The 21,757-nt window shown below is 44.6% G+C and overlaps 1 protein-coding gene across 4 annotated transcripts in view, besides 2 other annotated features; it reads right to left on the reverse strand.

Annotated features, from left to right (window-relative positions):
- Positions 1-21,757, reverse strand: part of KCNQ3 (potassium voltage-gated channel subfamily Q member 3) — a 360,235-nt gene that overhangs the window by 267,977 nt on the left and 70,501 nt on the right. The gene's annotated exons all lie outside the window — the stretch shown is intronic.
- Positions 4,811-5,312: an enhancer, noted in NCBI's record as "NANOG hESC enhancer chr8:133405895-133406396 (GRCh37/hg19 assembly coordinates)". NCBI's record gives its function as "activates a minimal SCP1, AML or CMV promoter by ChIP-STARR-seq in primed H9 embryonic stem cells {active_cell/tissue: H9 hESC(primed)}" and the evidence as "EXISTENCE:reporter gene assay evidence [ECO:0000049][PMID:30033119]".
- Positions 5,263-5,444: a silencer, noted in NCBI's record as "fragment chr8:133406347-133406528 (GRCh37/hg19 assembly coordinates)". NCBI's record gives its function as "represses an EF-1alpha promoter that drives an FKBP-Casp9 reporter gene in an ReSE screen in phorbol 12-myristate 13-acetate-treated (for megakaryocytic differentiation) K562 erythroleukemia cells {active_cell/tissue: K562(+PMA)}" and the evidence as "EXISTENCE:reporter gene assay evidence [ECO:0000049][PMID:32094911]".

Raw genomic sequence — 21,757 nt, forward strand, 5'->3', positions numbered from 1 at the left:
GTGTCTTACATGAATCGTGATTTTAATCATCATGCAGTGGTTCTGATTCCATTCTATGATTTGGAGTATAGTGGGAAACTTAAATACCGACACATACATGGATAAAGCAGATTCTTAAAAAACATTCTGGAAAAATTTGGTATCAAGTGGAAAGAAAAAACAAACACATTTGGCCTCTACCTCACACCATATACAAAAATAAATTCCAGTTTGATAGTAGACTTCAGTATTTAAAAAAATGAAATTTCAAGAAAAAAATGGAGAAATCTTCATGAATTCTTTCATAAAGGACATAACTGATCAATCTCACTGCATTAAAAGTAAGAATCTTTGTTCAGGCCAGGTGCAGTGGTTCACACCTGTAATCCCAGCACTTTGGGAGGCTGAGGTGGTTGGATTATCTGAGGTCAGGAGTTTGAGGCCAGCCTAGCCAACATGGTGAAACCCCGTCTCTACCAAAAATACAAAAATTAGCTGGGCGTGGTGGCACATGCCTGTAATCCCAGATACTTGGGAGGCTGAGGCAGGAGAATTACTCAAGCCAGCAGCGAGCTGAGATTGCGCCATTGCACTCCATCCTGGCCAACAGAGCGAGACTCTGACTCAAAACAAACAAAAACCTTTGTTCATAAGACAAAACAATAACAACAAAAACATCAATAGAGAGAAACACCACAGAGTGAGAAAAGGCATTTGCTGCACATATAACTAACAAAGGGCTTGTATCCAGAATCTGTAAGGAAAACACAGGCAACCTAATGGAAAAGTGATGTAGAGACTAGAGTACTCACTTCATGAAAGAGGATATCCACATGGCTTTTAACCAAATGAAAAGTGAGCAACCCCAGAAGCCACTGGGGAAATGCAGATTAAAGCCACAACAAGACACTGCCACATACCCATCAGAATGGCTAAAATTAAAACCATTAACAACATGAAAGATGGTTGAGATGTGGAGTAGAGAGAACTCTCACATGCTATTGCTACGAGTATAAAATGCTACACCCTCTCAGGAAAACACCTAGACATTATGTAATGTATTTGAAGATTAATGTACCCTTTAACCAGCAGTTGTGTACCTAGGTACAAACTTTGCAAGCACACACGCATGTATGTTCCAAAAAGCACATACAAAAACACTCCTAACAGCATTATTTGTAATAATAAAATATAAGAAATTACCTAAATATCCATCGACTGCCATTGGTAGTATGGTTATACAATGGAATTCTACACAGCAATGAAAAGGAGCTAGAGCTACATGCAACAACATGGATACAACTCACAAACGTAAGACTTAGTGGAAAAAGCTAGACACAAAGTTAACACCTTCTATATGTGGTTCCAGTTATATAAAACCAAAAACAGACAAAGAAAAAGTATAGCATTTAGGAATGAATACTTAGGGAATGAAAGCATACAATAAGGTAGGAAAGTGATGAGCATAAAAGTCAGAATAGAGATTGCTTTTGGGGGAGAGTCTGGGCTTGAGTAGAAAGGGACAGTGCAGCACCTCCCAAGTACTGGCAATGGTCTTGCTCCTGGTGGTGACACAGTTGTTCTCTTTACAGTAATTCAGCTGTACATTGTGTTACGCTTTCTGAGTTATAATACACCATAAAAAATGATATTAAAGCAACCCAACAAAAACATTAATGCCTGGGCCCCACTCCAGACCAGTGAAATCAGGATCTTTGAGAGCAGGGTGTGGTATGGGTGTTTTGTAAACATTCCCAAGGAGATTCTCATGCACCTCCAGGGCTGAGAAGCCTTGGAACACTGTATAAGAGCAAGCTCAGGTTCTCCAGTCTCCAGCACTCTCCAGCACTTCTCTCTGGGCCTCCATTTCCTCTTCAGTTAAATGAGTGCAATAACAGTACTGACCTGATGAGGTTCTAAGAATTGCAAGTGCCAACACCATGAAGGGTTTGGAGTATTTACCGGCACATTTTAAGTACCCGATCAGCATTAGACTGGTATCTTTATAATAATAAAGTAGCAATACATTTCGTTTCTTAAATAAGACAATGGAAGGGGTCAACACAATTCCAAATATTTAGCAAACACTTTCAAAATGTTATTACTATTAAATATTTGGTTTCCACAATCTCAGGATGAACTAGGATGCCCCTCAGCTCTGGAAAGCCTGTCTCCTTTGGGCTTGGGAAAGAAATGCAGTTTCAGAAAACAGTCCAGTGATATTCAGAATCTGCTGGAATAAGTGGATATTACCACTTGGAATACCCCCACTAGTTTTTAGTTTTGTAAATTCTCCAGAGACAAGGCCCAGGCCCTTCTTTTCTTGATTCTGCTGATAGTGCCTAGAGCATACCTTGTAAGTGCTAATGGGCACAATGCTATTTTGAGCCAAGACTCATGGGTTCGGTAGGTCAGAAACTACCCATGAAGATGATGGTATCAAAAGGGCAGAGCTTAAAACTTCATTCCACCCTTTACTGGCTGGGTGACTTTGGCCAAGGCATGATCTCTGAAAGCCTCAATGCTCACATCTGTAAAATGGAGAGGATGACAAAGACAGCTGTCTCGCTTCTTCAAGATGTTTTGGTGAGGCGACGCCGAGAAGAGATGCAAAAACTCCTAACACACAATATGTGCCCAGCTAACAAATGCTTTACGCCTCTGCACCCAGCAGGTGGCCGGGTAATGGCACTGACAAAACAAATTCTGCAGGCTGAACTGGATTTTGGGAGCCTGTTGAGCTGAAACAAACATCACCAAACTACTCTGCAAGGATACACTTGGGTACACAGTGCTCAATGAGGGAAAAGAGAGTAGGAAAAATCCTTTCCCACTGGTCTACAGCTATCAGAAGAGAGAAAACATCTTCCCCCTCCCAACAGCAGGACACTCAAAAATAGCTACCCCATTTCTCTTCTTTCTAACCCCCTCAGGACATATTCTCAACCAAATGCCAGCCAGCCTTCTGCACCACATTCCATGTGGGGAGCAGCATCTGCTTGCAATACAGATGCCCATGGCACCTGGGCAGCCGCTGTCTTGGAAACTGCTTCCTGCACTGGCGAGGGTGGGTATGGACACGGTGTGTTTTCCTGAGCCACAGAAGGGAAGATAATAATCCATCCTAAAGCCTCACCGAATATACACTCTGACACTGTGTGTCTGCATGCCACACCTGTGGGGGTGTGTGCTCATTTTTATCGGCACGCATCCTGCTGTCATAAACCATGGTGGACTTTAATTGCCCAGCAGTACCAAGTCTGTGCCTTTTAATGCCTACAGCATCCGGCCTCCCCCCTGGAGAAACATATCTGGTTACGACGTAATTCCTCTGACCTAAATTGAGTCACTTTCTTGTCAAAGAGGACAGTGGTTCTTCAGCTCTGGGGTCAATTTTATTGACTTTTCTCCAGCAGAAACCCTTTGGAACTCATCTTTTGCTCCTGCCTTGGATTAAAAGTTTCTAGAGGAGAATTTACCATTTGTGTTTTTTAAAACAGAGGTGCTATGCTGGCCCCCGAGCCCTGCCCCAGCCCAGTACTCTCTGATTTCAAATACTATCATGCGCTCTCCTCTTCCTAAATCTTCCCCGGCCACACCAGCATCCTTGCTGTTCCTCAAAAAGATCAGGCCCATTTCCATCCCAGGGTCTTTGCACTGGTCCTTACCTAGATGTTCTTATTCCCCATGTCTGCCTGGCTCACTCCTCTCTCTCTCTCAACTCTATATTCAAACCTCACCTTTCCATGATGCCTACACTGATTCCCCATTTAAACCTGCAACACTCTTAACCTGAGCAACACAGCAAGACCCTGACTCTACAATTTTTTTTTAATTAGCTGGGCATGGTGGCACACATCTGTAATCCCAGCTACTCAGGAGGCTGAGGCGGGAGGATCACTTGGGTAGAGGCTGTCAAGAGCCATGATTGTGCCACTGCACTCCAGCCTTGGGAACAAAGCAGAACCTGTCTCAAAAAAAAAAAAAAAAAAAAAAAAGACGACAAAAAACTGCAACATTCTCCCCCTTATCAGCTCTTACCATATCATATTTTAGTCCACAGCACTTTTCATCTTATATCTTAAGATAAAGTTTAAACCTTTTTCTTTTTTTCTGGTAGTTCTTTATTGTCTGGGTCTTGCACAGACTCTAGAATAAAAATCAGAGAATGCTAACAATTTTCCAGTTTTGTTCAACTTCTCGGTCCCCAGCATGAAGCACACAGTAGGTACTTTAAAAATATTCCTGAATTGTTACTGCTCTCCTACCCTTCCCCAACAGAAGCTTTCTGTTGTGAAGAAGTCAATGGCTTCACAGGCAGAGCTCTGTTTAAATGCCACCTCAAGGGAGAAGCCACTCTATCTAAATAGCCATCCACTCTACCTCCCTACTCCCCTGCATCACTTTATTTTCTTCCTAGTCCTTATCACCACCTGACATTATATAATGAAAACAGAGCACAGCTTTGTCTTTGTTGGTGTTCATGGCTCTATCCTAATCATCTAGAACAGGGATTGGCAAACTTCTCATAGAAAAAGGCTAGAGAGTAAATATTTTTGGCTTCACATGACCTGATGTCTTTGTTTCAACTACTCAACTCTGCCCTTGGAGCACAAAAGCTGCCACGGACAACATGTAAACAAAGAGTATGGCTGGGTTCCAAAATAAAACTTTATTTACAAAAACAGGTGGTGAGTCGGGGCTGGCCTATAGGACACAGTTTGCCAACTCCTGATCTAGAATAATGCCTGGTGCATAGTAGGTGTTTAATAAATATTAGCTGAATGAATGGGCTGAATGATTTAACAACTAAATTTATCAATTTACCGCATGTCAGGCACTCCGTCAAGTGATCTTTCAATCATGTCATTTCATCCATAGAACACCTATTAAACTAAGGACTGTTATTCCTCATTTAGAGGTGAAAGGACAGAGGATAAAGGAGTTTCTGACTTTCCTGGGCTATCACCATGAGAGAGGATTAAAATTCAGGTCTTTCAGCCCCTGCTCATTCCACTACAGAACATGTACCCTCCCAGTCTTGTTGCATGCTCTATGAAAATGCAAAGTCATGCTGAAGATGATAACTAGAATTCTTCACCACCCACTGTGTACAGATTCCTTCACTCATCTGCCAGCCAGGGTTTGCCAGCTACCTACTGTGTGCCCTTGCTGTGCTCAGTGTGATAAAGCTCTAGTCAGACCCAGGCTCCACAAGACAACAGAGCTACGGAAACAGCCAAATACCAACCACGTGCCAGGCACCAGGCTGCCGGCATTAGAAACCTGACTCTGATTCAGGGCTTGCCTTCAGGAGGAAGGGCAAGAAGCGCAAGTACTCTCAGGGCCTTCTATGTGCCAAGCACTATGCAACATATTTCCTTGCCATGCAAGTAAATGACAGGTGTCCACAGAAATGCAAAGGTTGGGGGAGTTCTGAGGAGAGAGCATGGGATTTCCTCCTTGGGACTCAGGAAAGCTGAGTTAAAGGGCATGGTTAAGCCATGTGTTTTTGGGAATCAGAACTGGGACCACTTCCCATTCCAAGAACTTACTAGCTATGCAGACCCTGGGAACATGACTCAGTTTCCCTATGTCATAGAAAACAGTGATAAGAGTGTGACCTCCCACCCCCCAAATTTTTTTTGAAAAACTAAATGGACTAATATATATGTAATAAGTGATTGCTTGATCCAGTGTAGGGACTTAAAGTGTGGCCATAATTATCATCCTGATCACCCTTGAAGGACCTGAGAGAACTTCAGAGTGAAACCTTTGGTATTCAGAGATCTACGAGTGAAAGTGGTACCCTACCCTACTTAACACACTGGTTATTATCAATGATGACAATGGTGTGATGGGGTGGGGAGTGATGGGAGAAGTTCAAGGACTTCCCAGATCATGAGGCTCCTGTTTGTTAAGTAGCCTGAAGTCAGACAGGACCCCAGATTGGATCATTTGCTTATTTAACCAGCACCCAGCACTGAGTAGGAATTCTGTCTGCTGCCAAAAGCCAGTGAGTGCGCCTTGGCCAGAGCTGCCTGGATATCCTGAGAAGATGAACTGTGCTTCTGCCAAAGACACAACTTAAGACCAATGGTCAACTCCAGCTGCGTCGGATGTGGAAACTGAGCTGGGCCTGCTGGTAATGGGGCCTGCCTCCCTGACAACCAACCCTGCCTCCATCAGTCAGCGCAAGCCTCATGCATTTAGAGCACCCAGATGGGAGTGTAGTGCTAATAGGTGCTTCATTACTGTTCCCTTCCAACCCTGCTGGTTTTTAAAAATTTAATGTAATTTAATTTTTAACTTAATTTGTTTAATTGACAAATAATAATTGTATGTATTCATGAAGTACATAGTGATGCTTCGATATGTATAATGTACAGTAATCAAATCAGGGTAATGAGCATATCCATCATCTCAAACATTTATGATTTCTTTGTGTTGAGAACATTCAATATCCCCCTTCTAGCAATTTGAAATTACATCATATTGTTAACTATGGTCATCCTACAGGAGTATAGAACACTAGAACTTATTCCTCCTGTTTTTCCCAGAAATCTCCAATCACACCATGCTCTAATAGAAGTATCAGGAGTTCTAACACGACAGCAAAGAGATGCCTTAGAGTCTGGTTTGACATAATGCAGTTCAAGTGAAAGTGGTACCCTACCTGACTTAATACACCGGTTACTACCAACAATCACCTTTTTAAAACTCAACCAAACATCTTAGCTCAGAGCAATTCAAAACACAAACAAACCCTAGGAAAGTGATGAGACTTTCAGTCACAGAGTAACAACATGTTGTGTTTATCCAGCATCTCCTACTAAAGAGATTTCTCATTCACCAGGCATTCTGGAGCTTCTACAATGATATGCCTGGAGCTTTCTAAGTTTTCCCTTATTTATTCCTTTTGAAACCTCCTTACAGGCATTGGGCTCATCCCCATTTGGCTGAAGCCGAAGCTCAGTGAGCTCAAGGGACTTACCCAATGGCATCTCCTAGGGGAATGTCGCATCTCAGCAAAGAGGAGGAATGGACAGAACCCATGGGAACACGAACTGGCCCAAAGCATTTAGCAGAGACTCTTGTTTTCCAGATGCTAGGCCCTGGCTGTGGTCACAGCCGGGCCTGAGTTCAGTCCCAGCTCTGCCAATCTGATCTGGAAGGATTTGGGTTACTATTACCTAGTACTCTAATTTCGGTTTCCTCATCCACTAGGTGGAGCTAACGCCAGTCTCTCTGCCTAGCACTGCAGTGAGGATTAGAGGAGATGGCGCAGGAGAGGCCCTCAACGCACTGTTGTCAAAACCTTCATTTCCGACCCAGGCAGTGGCCTGGGTGCTCCACATATGTTTCTCATTTAGTCTCCGAAATGGCCCACTCTTTGCCCCATTGAACAGAGCAGATAACAAACACTTGGGTCTCCCATCCAGTTTCCATGGAGCATCAATTCTCTAACCACTACGTACACTGACACTCTGCAACTTAGAACTGATCTTTGCAGAAGCAGAATTTACATGAGAGAAAAACTTCCACTTATACTGCAAAGAAAAAAACAAAACAAAACCCGACCTCCTCAGAGCCATGAACTTGGTAACAGGAAAAAAAAAAAAAACCCAGAGCCTGACACAGCAGTAACTTCATGTATTATATTATCAAAAGGAAGACATTTCTTCCTTTTACTTTCAAATTTGGTCTCAGATTTATCCAGCCTTGCCGCCTGGTAGTTCAAAAATCTAGATACCAAAACTTTGGAAAAATACCAGAATTGAGGACAGTTGTAGCGGGTAAGATTATAAGACAGTCCCCAAGATTTCTGCCTCTGCGTACCCACACCATTTTCTCCTAGTGAGTTAATCAAACACAAACCCAGGGACTGCTCTGAAGGGATTCTGCTATCGTCATTAAGATCCCAAATCAGCTGACAACAGATACAGAGAGTATCTGGGTGGGCCTGAGCTAATCACCTGAATTCATTAAGAGCAGAGAACGTTCTTAGAAGAAGTCAGAGAGAAATGTGTTAGCTAGTGAAGTGGTCCTAAGTAGTTGGAGGGATCTTGCCAGAGGTGACCAGAATTGAAAGAAAAGCAATCAAAGGGGATGGGATAAAAATTGTGTGTGTGCGTGTGTGTGTGTGTGTATGTGTGTGTGGGAGAAAGAGAGAGAGAGAGAGAGATTTAAGAGAGTCAGGGAGAGCCTCTCTAGTTGGTGCCATTTATTCCCCAAGTGTTTTATTATTATTACTGCATTTTTCATTAAAAAACACCCATTGCTTAAGACACACATCAAATCCAGTTGGTCTAGTTGGGTGGTGGCTTAATGGGCTAATATCGCATTTTACCAAATCACTACTGGAAACTTCATTACTCAGTCTGAGTGGCTGAGTCAGGCCCTCTGTGCCCAGAGGACTGCTGCCTGACATGACCTACATCCCCATCTGACCGTGCCTCAGTGCCCTCTTTCAAGGTACAATGAGCTGGGAAACGTGGTTATAGTCACCTTTCCAGTTGGGTGGAAAGATGGCAGGGCATGAGAGCAAAGTACTAGATTCCATTAAGGCCTTCCTCTCCCTGCCAGGGTAACCTAGACAAGTTGTTCAGCCTCCCTGGAACCTCTTCTGTGATGAGGGAATCAGAATAAGACTATCTACGCTGCATAGGGTTGGGATGGGAATCATGTAAAATCTTATATAGGTAAGTGCTGGGTACAAAGTAGATGCTCATGAATTGCTGTTCTTCTGATCATGATCCTTAGGGAAGTAGGATATGTTTTACAGAGACCATCAGCTATGAATTTAAACAGGTTTTCAGTACACTGTGCTCAGTAAGGGATTACCAGAGGAGATTTAAGGAATTTCCACGGCTTACAGACTATCTGGTTTGAAAAGTCTTTTCCCTTCATTAATAATAATAATAAAGACTAAAAAAAGTTCCCAGAGAAGCTAAGGAACTTGTTCAAGGGTGCACAGAAAGATTAAAGGTTGTTATCTCACTTCAAGTTCAGGAATTTGTTTTCTTCATCTTCAGCTAAATGCCAACTATCTATCCATCTATCTATCTGTCTTTCTGTATATCCATCTATACAAAATCCTAGGAAATTTTTTAAGGAAAAGCATATCTACTATAAAATATCTAATTTATAAAATATTAACTCCCTGTGCAAAAGCATACACCTTTCTTTGTGTCTTCGGGCGGTTACACAAGGGTAGCAAGGGAAACCAGTGGTTTCAGAGGCAAACACTGAGAATTACAACTCCAGAGAAACAACAAATTCCATCCACAGCAATTTTTTTAAATCATCAAGTTTTTAGAGAAACCTTTTGGTTTTTTTGTCAAAAGTAAACACAACTCCCAAAATTTAATCTTCACTCTCTACAGGCAGTTTCTGCTGAACCAAAAGATTAGCAATGGGCTTCAAATCTCTCCCCCTCTTCAACTAGTTGGTTAATTGTTACTTTCCTTTTTTCTGTGTGATATAGTCTCTTCAAATTTTTGAGTCTCTTGATTTTGCTTTTGCATTTTATATATTTTATATATTTTTTGAAAATGCTTTATAGAATCAGATAGAATAGAAAGAAACCAACTTACACTGGCTTTTATTTTTAAGTGGCATTTTCTTAAATGATTTGCTTATTATTCACATTTTCTAAATTCTCTATGTACTTTGTTCTGCCAAATAAAAATCTCAAATGTCAAAATCTCATTTGGGGTGCCCGAAGAACTCAACATTTCATTAAAGGTTACTTGCATAAGCCTTTGCCCCTATTAAAATGCTATTTTAATTTTGCTACAGATATATAAATAGTATAAACCAGTACAGGTTAAGTGGCTGGAAACAGAAAGACAGGCAGAAATTGGATGATGCTTACAGTGCAAAGGTGGGGGATACAGGAGAGGGGAGCATGAGAGTAAGGAACAGAGGGAATGGGCAGATGAGCCTGAAGCAAAGGGAGAGAAGGAAGCCAGCAAATAAATTAGGCAGCATGTTGATGGATTGAATGGGCTTTCCCAGAACCCCAGGTGATACTGGCATCTGCCCAAAGGGAAGGGAAGCTGAACTTCAGACCACCTCCCTGAGACAGCCTAAGTTAAAGGCTGCAGTGGTGAGCCCAGGCATCACATGACTTCTGACCACAGAGTGAAGGCACCATGCTTGCATGTACCTAAGACAAATTCAGTGCAGCCATATGTCAAGTGCCTTTGAGACAGGCATCGTAAAAGTCCACCAACAAAATAGGAAGGCTTCTCCAGACCTTCATCCCAGAATGCACATCAATGACAGAATATGCAGATACGATTTACAAATTTATTCAGAAGACAGGTCTCTATAGGCAGTAGAATCAACTTGTTTTGCAGGTTCTTATTAACAATGTTGCAATAAAAAACTCTTTTAATGAGTTACAGAAATAGCTCTCACCTCTGTGAGCCCAGAGAGCAGCCTGAGCCTCAGCTTTTGGGGAGTATTTTTTGCTTTCAATGCATTCGATCATTTTTGCAGCTCTCACAGAAAGCAGTTATATTAGATGACAAGCAACCAGCTGCCTGTCCCTCAGGAAGACACTTCTCCCATGCACCCAGTGTTTCTTGGTTTCCAGTCTTCTACTTCCTCTTATCCCATCCCTGGCCATCCTGGCCTTTGGGAGTCATTTTGTATGTGAGGCCCACAGAGATAGGAGAAGAGGGAAAAAGCGCCCTCCACCCCTGGAAGAAAATAAACCCTATGATTTGTATAACTCCTTACATTGTCCAAAATTCCAAGCATCAAGAACTCACTCCTCCTGGATTGGAAGAACTTAATGGACACCTCCCATTAGAATGAATCATTCTAACAATTCCACTAGAATTAGTATCGCAATACACGCTCACACATATGTCTGTGTTCTTACTCGATGGTGAGATACTTGAAGAGAAGGGAAATCCTACACATCTCAAAGTCCCAGGTGGCCACATCTTTACCACCTGTTTGGCTTCAGATAAACACTCTCTGGGCCTCAGTTTCTCCTTCTGTAAAACGGAAACACTAGGCACTTGTACCTTGGAGGACTGTTGTGACCAGGCATCAGAGGAGTTAAGAAAGGCTTCTGAGTCTACTCAGCTCTGTGAATGAGCTAATTGGATGATCTTTACATCAGGTTTTCTGGCTCCCAATCCTGGACAACAACCTACCGGGTGCCCATGACAAGGAAGGGGTAGGTGCAGGAGAACGTAACCTGGCCACCAGGGAAGGCTTCCTGGAAGCAAAGACACCTAGGCAGACCTGAGCAGTGAGCTGGAATTGTCAGGTGAAGAGCTGCATGTTCAGGGCAACAGACAAACACGTATGTACTATTCACCAATTCCATTCATGTGTTAAATGTATTCAGCGTCTGTGTGCCTCTTGTCTGGAATCTGCCTCTTTTGTGAAATGAGAAGACTGAGCTAAATATGAGCTCAAATCCTATCCACTTCTAACATTACCTGACACAGAGCTGGGTTCATGGCTCATTTAACCACGATCCGATTTGCAGGCATTGAGTGGAACCCCAGGGCCGGCTTTTCACACATCCTTGTGCTCAAGTCTGCGTTTCATACAATAACCTAAATGAAAGTGACATTTGATCAACTTTGAACAACTGACTCTCAACAGCACGGCTGTGAGTGGTCCAAGCTGTGGGATGAGGCTTGTCTATGGCTGATCAGCAAGAGCACGGAGCCAGCTCCTAGGCCCTGGTGATGCCACCGCGGGTCCCTGCACACACAACGACCCCCACACCAGATCCAGCCAGGCTTCTGAGGAAGCCCACGTGGGTACAGGAAAGCAGCAGATGTGCTCTCTGAAAGGATCTTCTCTCCTGTGTCATTTCTGTAAGGAAAACAATCACAGAGGCTTATCCCAGTGGGGAGGGAATAGTGGGAAACAGCGTATAAAGAATCAGAGTGGTGAGGCCCTCCAGCAGTCTGGGGCTCTGCCTTTATATTCAGGGCCTTGCTATGCCTGGGCACAATGGCATTAATCCTAATCCCTTTCCCTCCCCTCCTGCTTACGCTGTCTCACTTGCCCTTTCACCACAACCTTGAAAGGCAGGTAGCATTGTTGGTCGCACATCTGCCCAGAGGGAGCCTGTCCAGGCCCCTGACATGATCTCAGCATTCTGTTAATTCCCCTAGCCTTTGCAGAGGCCACAGCCAGCATTCAGGATAAGCAAGCTGGGAAACCTGGACTTAGTTTCACAAAACAAGAGCAGGAAGGTCCAGGCTAGGGTGAAATCCAGGAGAGTAGCTGGGCAATCCCCACCAGGCGGCAAATCTACATATGAACCCCTGCCTCAGAAACTACTAGAAACCAGGGCTGCATCCATGAACAAGGAGCCAGCCACATAGAGACTGAGCGGAGAATCCTCCCAGCTGATAGGCTTTCAAGGAAAACACAAAGAGAAGGCTTGATTTCATAAGATGGTTGAATCTTATGAAATCCACTCCACTGTGGATTTCACCCACTTCCACTCCACTGTCCCATGTCCCTTTTATCCCCATGAATACGGATCCTACAAATGCCAATATTTGGGAGGAATAGAACACTTTTTTTTTTTTGAGATGCAGTCTTGCTCTGTCGCCAGGCTGGAGTGCAGTGGCACGATCTTGGCTCACTGCAGCCTCCAAATCCCTGGCTCAAGCAATTCTCCTGCCTCAGACCCCCAAGTAGCTGGGATGACAGTCATGTGCCACCACGCCCAGCTAATTTTTGTATTTTTAGTAGAGATGGGTTTTCACCATGTTGGCCAGGATGGTCTTGATTTCCTGACCTCGTGATCCGCCTGCCTCGGCCTCCCAAAGTTCTGGGATTACAGGCGTGAGCCACCACGCTAGGCCAAATAGAACACTTTTAACTGCAACAATATATCTGCAACTGAAAAGCTATGAAAGAATCTCCTTTGACATACCACCCTCTGCCCTGCCCACCCTCCTCCTAGTCAGTGCTGATGCAAAACGAAATACTTGAGGTTTACACCAAATGCTGCAGTGATTCTACCAGCACTGCCCTGACGTGGGGAGGGACAGGGGCTAACTAGATTTGGCCAGTAGAACCTGAGGAAGGGGCTGGGAGAACCTAGAGTCTGGAACTATTGGGACACTGAACACTTCTGAGTGAGAGGGCTGGTGCAGTCGGGCAGTTGCTAGAGCCAAAGCAAATCCCTGGGGAAGGAGGCTGTGCCTGGGTTTTCTCCTTGCAGACCTGGGGGCAAGGGTGTGCATGTGCCTGTGGTGTCATAATTAGTCTGGGGCCACAGGCTTTGGAATGTTAATTCTGGAGATATCATGCTACCTAGAGCTGTCTCTTGCCCAGAGAGCGTGTCCGTGTGTGGGCACTGTGAGGGGCCACAGCACTTCCATCTTGCTCTTATTTCTATCTATGGCCTGTTGAGTGCCAACTTCCTTCTTGGCTTAATGAGAAGGAGCCCAGCTTGAGAACTGGCCCCCACTGCCCAGCCCCTTCCCACACTGCATTGTGTCTGGTGGCAAAGAACTTGCTCGGCTTCTGGTGAGCAATTAGTCTAATTCATTCTCCCAGTTCTCTTTCCTATACAAGGCAAATCTCAGCTAAATAGAAACCTTCAGCACATTTTAATTCAGAATAGCACTAAAAACTGTTATTATGGGTAAGGTCTTTCGTGTATCTCCTGACAGAGCCTAAAATGACCAAATAGGTTGTTTATAAATGCATTCCTTGGCACATTTAAAGGCCTTGCATGCTGTTTCTAAATGGTTTCTAATAGGTGGAGCACAGGGAACTTGTAAGGCAGTAAAACTATTCTGTAGGATACTATAATGGTGGACATATGACATTATTCATTTGGCAAAACCCAGAGAATTGTACAATGCAAAGACAGAATTATAATATAAATTATGAACTTTAGTAAATAATAATGTATTGGCCCGGCGCGGTGGCTCATGCCTGTAATCCCGGCACTTTGAGAGGCCGAGGTGGGCAGATCACGAGGTCAGGAGATCGAGACTGTCCTGGCCAACATGGTGAAACCCCATTTCTACTAAAATACAAAAAATTAGCCGGGGCGTGGCAGTGCATGCCTGTAGTCCCAGCTTACTCAGGAGGCTGAGGCAGGGGAATCGCTTGAACCCAGGAGGCAGAGATTGCAGTGAGCCAAGATCGTGCCACTGTACTCCAGCCTGGCAACAGGGCGAGGCACCATCACAAAAAAAAAAAAAAAAGTGTCAATATTGGTATGTCAATTGTAACAAATGTACCATACTAATGCAGAAAGTTAATAATAAGGGAAATTGTTTGTGGAGGGGGCAAGGAGGCATACAGAAACCCTCTGTACTCTCTGCTCAATTTTTCTGGGAAACCTAAAGATGCACCAAAAAAATCTATTATTAATTTTTTTAAATCCCAAGGCAAGAAAACGCCCAAATGAGGACTTGTCTCAAAAGAGCCATGACCTTGGGCCCTCCTGTGGATCTCTGGGTGCCCCTAAGACCCCAGCTGGTCCCATGGCTGCTCTGGGCCATCCCCAGCCCCTGTGGATGGAGACACTCCCTCAGCAGCCCAAGCCTTCTGTGCACAGACCTGCAGCCCATTCCCGCTCTTCAGGGAGCAGCCTACTCCAAATGCCATGTCTGGCACATTCGAGGAGCAACAGCAGCTTTGGGTTCATTAATTAGCAATTGGGGTGTTAAGCAGCATGCAGACCCAGGCTGCAGGTGTGAACCTTGCTTCCTCTCCATGCCTTAAAAATGCCACCCTATAAGGAACACCAATGATCCATCCCAAACTGGGAAGATGGTGAACTGTGAAAACTTCAAGGAAGGAAAGTATCATAGTTCCATTTCCACCAGCCATCATCTATGAATCCTTCAAATCTCGGTTCAGTGTCATCTCCCCAGGAGCTTCCTCTGGCACACACAGCCCCGGGCCTCTGGTTTGCTCCTGCTGGGTTCCCAGGGCACCCAGGCTCACCCTGCTGGAGATAACTCTTTCCCCATCTGTCTTTGTCACTAGTCTGGTGGATCCTGCAGAGAACAGGGACCTTATTTTATTCATCCTTGGGAAACCTCATGAAACATCCTGTAGCCTGTCTTGTTTTTAGCTACTAAGGCCTCACCAAGGGGCCAGAGCCATGGGGTGGGTACAACACCGCCCTCTCTCCAGGGCTCATCCTGAATCACTTCTCCCTGAATCTCTTCTGAGGACCAAGCCCCATTCTGTACATCTCCACAGACCAGCCCTTGCCTGGAATAACATGTCTCAGACTTGCCCACTTCCCCTTCTCTTGCATAAAACTCAGAGCAAATGGGAGGAAGAAATGGGGCAGAAACGTTTTTACTATGAAAGAAGAAAGTGGGACAAAGGGATGCTCTGTAGAGTCGTGGTTCTAGATGGAAAGAAGCATCACCTACCAAAAGCTCCAGGGAAGGTGGGCTTCTGTCATTTGAGTAAGTTGCCTGATGTCTCAGACACCCCTCTCTCTTTTCCCTGGGTTAAGAAGTTGGTTGGTCTTCTGATATGTCAGTTAGGCTAGGTACAGCCCCCAGACACTTAATCAAACATTAAGTATTTCCTGTAAGGCTAATTTATAGAGGTGATTAAAGTCCCTAATCAGATGATTTTAAGAATGGGAAAGTATCCAAGATAATCAGGGTGGGTCTAATTCAATCAATTGAAAGGCCCTAAAAGCAAAGCTAAAGCTTCCCTGATAAAGGCGAAATCCTGACTTTGGGCAGTGGCTTCAGTCCATGAAGACAATTCCAGTCTTCCCTTCCTGAAAGCTTCCCCTAAGGGTTTCAGATTTGCCTAGCCAGCCCCCGACAATGACATAGCCAACTCCTTGCAATAAATCCCTTTATATGTCTCCTTCTGGCTCTGCTTCTCTGGTGGTACCTTGGCTCATACAAGAACTAAAACTCTTAAGTAGTCACTGCAGTTCTACCAGCAGACACTCAGGAGGATGAGACAAGGAGGGGACTTAATAGTCATCAAGCACTTTATATAAAGATCAGGCAATTCACATGTGATAAGCATTTATCTTAATCTTCGCAATAACCCCATTGTCCTGATTTTTCAGTGTGGGTGACTTAAATTTTCTGTGCGACAGCTTCATTTTTTGTGAGGGAAAGGGAAGACTCCCAAGTGACCCACCTATGACCACAATTCAGAGACAAAGCAAGGGTCTTGCTGTGTTGAGTACACATCTGCAGGAATAGGAAGCCTATATTTCCCATAACAAACAATCTGGGCAAAGTGTGAGGGGGTGCAGGAAGGGGTGAAAGCACAACAGCAGCAGATGACACATGCTCTTTGTTCATATTCTCCTCCTCAAAAGTTTGCCACTGAGCTGCCACTGGGCAAGATTTCAAGAAGCAGCCAGAGAGGAGAGATTGGCTCCTCTTGACGATGCATGAGAATGCCTAAGAAGGTGACAGGTCCCACTATAAGCCATCAGCCCTCATGCTGCAAGGGCGGGTATGGGGGAAGCAGAGTTTTCCCACGGCATAAAATTGCCTGTTCCACAAAAAACAGCTCCTGGATTTCCCAAGTCAAGGTCCTCAGCTCACCTTTCCTCCAGCACCCAGCCACCAGTGGCAGTGAACAATAGAGACTGATCCAAAAAGACTCCTTCTTGTATTTGGTTTCAGGGTGAGAGAAGTGCTAGGGCTCATTTCCCTAATATCTCAAAGGTGAACTTCAAGACTGGGTTGACGGGTGAGTACTCCACTCCACCAAAGAACCCTGATAAAGCACCCACTCAGTGTCAGGGGCTGTGCTGGGGAACAAGGTGGGATGCAAAGGTGAATGATGGGGGGACCCTGCCTTCCAGGAGTTTATAACTTAGCATGTCGACCAACTCTACGTTCAAAAACAACTCTGGGTCAAAGCAAGATCAGTGCTATAGTAGAGTACAATCATTTCTTCATTCCATCAACATTTCTTCATGCAGTAAACACTGCAGATTTGGTGTTGGAGTGCTTTCACCAGGCAGCAGGAATGTGACATTGCAACAAAGATGGAGGAGGAGAATAAAAAGGCACCCTAGAGGAGGTGGTCCTGAAATGAACAGCTCCTGTCCTGAACTGTAACTGCTTCTCCTGAAAACTCTACTTCCTAACAGCCTCCAGGTCTTAGGCAACACTGAACTAAGCAGTCAGCCACAGAGAACAACAAACCAGGCAGAAATGTCCCAGGTGGGTGGCAGTGTGTGTGTGGGTGACTTAAATTTTCTGTGCGACAGCTTCATTTTTTGCGAACTGGGAGTAATTATGCCAACTTTTCCAATTTCATAAGGCCATGGTGAGGATTAAACCTGATAGAAAGAAGGGTGTCGTTTCAAAATATTTAACCCCAGGTATTGCCTGGATACTGATAAGTCAGAACAGATGTTGGGCTTGGGTGGGGTGGTGGTGAGGGTGCCAATTGTTAACACTTTCTTTGCTGGATCAAGCGGGGCTTGGAATAGCAGTATTAGAAGGTGGGAAGGAGGGGACTCGGGAGGATGGGCTGAAGCTACGTCCAATCTCACAGTGGAGAACTTCGACATTTCAACCACTGAACTTGTCCACTGAATATCAACCTTGCTCCTAATGCTCCCACAGGGAGAAAAGTGCTGATCAGTTTCATATGGACATGAAGATTTGGTTCTGCCTTCTTTGTCAGTCTCACCCCCTCCACAATTCCATTCCTGAGCCCCACTCACTCAGCACAAATGCACACACACAGACACACACACAGGCATACACTCACACACAGACACACACACACAGAAAGACACAGGCACACACTCAGCACACAGACAAATATGCACAAACATGGACACGAACACACACACACACCAGCAATACTAAACTACCATGCTTTCTCAGTTCTATGACACCATTAAGCATATGAAACACCATCAGTTTAATAATAAGTCAGGGGATGTGGTATGGAGAGAGCAGAAACTACATTAAATATACAATTCAATTGACTCCGACTTCAAGAGTCAACCCTGTTTTAGGTATTAGGCCAAGGGTTCTCAACTTTAGTGGGCTTAAAGTTCTAAAAAGGTGTGTACAATGGAAGAAAGGGGCCAAGACAATTTCATGTGGTGGAAAGATCACTTACTGACATATGAAGGACAAAGGGAAAGTGAAGAAGTGGAGGGGGAAGTGACATTTCTTTCCCCTTTTATGAACAGAGCCAGCCCCTGTGCCCCAAGGCTGGGCACCTTTGCTTCCTACACTGGCTGTCAAAACAAACTGAAAATGCCTCTGCGCCCATGCCTTTACCAGAAGACATTCCTGCACAGACAGGCAGGTCCTGCCGAGGAAGAGAGAGAAAAAGAGGGAGTGGTGAGTTAGGCAGGAGGGCAGGGACCCTTCCCAGTTTCACCCCAGGAGCAGCCACAGCAAAGAGCCCTCCTTCAGGCCAGCGGAGACAGCACAGCCACCTGCCTCGAATGGACCCACGATCTTATTTATTTGGTCTTTCAGTGGCAGCGGACACCCTTTCCAAAAACTCAGGCTCTGAGACCATCTCTAGTGGACAAGGAGAGCAGAATCCCAAAACAAAGTGATTGATTTTTCTCTCCACCCTGGAAAGTAGGGGCTTACAGCCAGATTAAACTGGATTTAGCCAGGTTACACTGGCCTCTGAACAAATCAATGTGTGTAGCACTTCCTGCATCTAAGAACCGGGTGGTACTTCAGACGGGCTTCACTTCAGTCCCAGGATCAAAGCAGCACACTATTTTCAGTCCCAAGCCATCCCCATTTTCTGTCCTCCCTGACCGTCTTTGGTGCTGTTCCTTCTCCCTGGGACACCCTTCCTCCCTCACAGGGATCAAGGCACAGAGTGAAGCTGTTGGCTTGTTCCCTTGTCTTTCACCATCACTACAGTATTTGGCTGGAGGTGCTCAAATGTACACTGTCCTCAACTACCTGAACAGTTTGTAAAAAATACATCTTCCTGGTGCTGCCTCCCCAGAGTCTAGCTCGGCAGGTCTGCAGCAGAGTGCAAAAGACTGTATCTTTCACATGCTCTCCAGGTCACTGATGCTCAAGCAGCCCCCAGACCACATCCTGGGGAACTCCGAGCTAACGAAGAGGGCAGGGACTCTGTCTCGTTCATCCATTACATGATGGGGTGGAGGCTTCAATAAGTAGATGCTGGCTGACTGGCAAAGGTAAGTCGCTGGGTGGGTAGCTCAGGAAATGAGTGAGTGCATAAATTAATCTAGTTTATTACTAGTTTATTACTGACTCATTCAGTCAGCCACCCACCCACCCACCACCTAATTAATTATGCTACGTATCCAATGACTGTAAAAAGTATTGTGCAGAATATAAATGTCGGGTAACATCGTTTTTTTAAAAAAATCATTGTGGACTATATGTACAACATGGAATCGTTTTCCCAAAATTCTCCCTGGAAAGCTTTGGCATATATTCCATGGAGATACTTTCAAGAATCCAGCAATGTCTTAAGTCTATTTGCCAAGTACTGCTGTGGAGAGTTTGAAGCTTCTGCCTCTACTACATGGAGTGAGCTTCTGGGTGTACTGGAGTCCCTTCTGTGCACGCTCTGGTCTTCTAGGCATCCCCCTGACCTTCAATCCAGCTGGTGTTCGACTCTCTACCTGATGCTGTGCCCTGGGGATACAGGGATGAATTAAACATGGGCCCTGCTACGCTAGGCAGACTTGTAAGATCTCCTCCCCTGGTGTGCATACCCTGTACAGCGCCCTCCCATGAAAGTGAGCAAGACTTGTGAATATGATGGGATGAAATTCCAGCAACTATTTTTACCTTATGTGGCCAAAAGGATTTTGCAAATGTAGTTAAGTTCCCAGTCAACTTTGAGTTAATCAAGGAGATTATCCTGGGTGGGCCTGACCAAATCTAGTGAGCCATAAAAGAGGTCAGAGAGTCAAAACGTTGGGGAGCATGTTGCCATGTAACCACAAGGGCTGTATAGTAGCAAAGGGCACTAGGCAGCTAGGAGCTGGGAGCCAACCCTGGATGACAGCCAGCAAGATAACAAGGCCTCGGTCCTACAACTGCAAGGAACTGAACTCTGCCAACAACCAGTGAGCTTGGAAGAGGACCCTGAGCCTCAGATGAGATGCAGCCCTGCCTGACACCTTGACTTCTGCCACATGAGACTCTTGAGTGGAGAACACAGCTATACCATGTGAGGACTTCTGACCTACAGAACTTGTAAGATAATAAATGCATGTTTTACTTTGCTAAATTTGTGGTAATTTGTTATATAGCAGTAAAATCTCAAAGAGTCCTTTCCCCCAAGAAGCTCATAGACACCTAGGGGTGACAAATACAAGCTAGTAATTACTATGCTATATTGTTTTCAAGACTACAGCAATTCATAGCTTTAGTAGTTTTCAAAATTGAGCCAAATTTGCCTTCGGAAAGTTTTTCCTATTCATCTCTAATCCATCTATGCATTCACTTAATTTACAAACTTAAGTTGAGCTCCTATTCTGTGCCTGATACTGTGCTAGACACTGAGGACCCAAGGTGACACAGATACAGTTCCTGATCCCCTGACCTTGGACCAAAATGTCACTCCCAAACCTTGCACAACCCACTCATGCCCCAAGACCCAGCTTAAGTGCCACCTCCTTGACCTAACTTCCTAGATCTCCTGTAAAAAAAAAAAAAATAGCTCATCCTCAGAATTCCCACAGCAAATTTCATGGTACTCTGCTTAACACGTCTTGGTTCCACTGTGTGTTTCAACTGTCTGTGCATCTCACTGGACTGTGACCTCCTTGGGGACAGGGGACATCCCTCATCATCTACCTTCACAACCTAATGTCTGACAGGTAGAAGATGCTCTGAAAATACTGGTTGAATACTGAACACCTCACCATTTATCCCTGGATTTCCTTGCCAGCTAGCCCTGGGTTCTCCCTATTTCCCTATTTTAGAGTCAGTGCATATTGAAATGGAGGAGAAATACATCAGGGGAGACACTGGGACAGTTGGATATGCAGCCCCATTCTAAGACTGGCCTTGCCTGATGCCCAGAATTAACCAAATTTTTTGGAATAATAATCCTTGGTCATGATTATAAGGGTTCTTTGCTTATGCAGAAGGTCAATTTCAGAAGCATTACTCATACACTGAATTTTTGCCTGTCAAATCTTATTTTTTAAATGATAGATTTAGTCTGGCATGGTGGTGTGCACCTGTAGTCCCAGCTACTCAGGAGGATGAGGCAAGAGGATCGCTTGAGCCCAGGAGGTCATGGCTGCAGTGAGCTGTGATGGCACCACTTCAGTGTAGCTGGGTGACAGAATGAGACCCTGTCTCAAAAAATATAATAAAAGATAAAATAATTAAGTGATGGGGTTGCTGTTTACTTAAGGAATGACTATAATGAGCCTTATTTTAAAGTGAGGACTCAAAAATTGTTTTTTGATAACACCACTAATTCGAAAAGCATGTAAGGTAGGCTAAAATAACTGGAGAACATGAGAGTAAAACTGAAGATTTTCCTAAAGGGAGAGGTAAATTAATGGGAAGAGGAAGAAGATAGGCCAAGAATTTGGAACAAGATAATCCCTGAGCTTCTTGAAAACCAGGACAAAGAGGGAAAGATGTTGGACTTTTTAGCTGTTGCTGCCAGATGGAAAGAAGCAAACCCGTCCACCTGGGAGAGAACCCTGTCCTTGGAGCTCAATTATGAGTGGCTCATGAGCGAGATCCATGAGAAAATGCATTGCATGCAAAGTATGTGTCCCAGTGCCTGGCACACAGTAAGTGCCCAGTGACAGCCA

The sequence above is a fragment of the Homo sapiens genome, chromosome 8, assembly GCF_000001405.40.
Source record: "Homo sapiens chromosome 8, GRCh38.p14 Primary Assembly".
Lineage (NCBI taxonomy): Eukaryota > Metazoa > Chordata > Mammalia > Primates > Hominidae > Homo > Homo sapiens.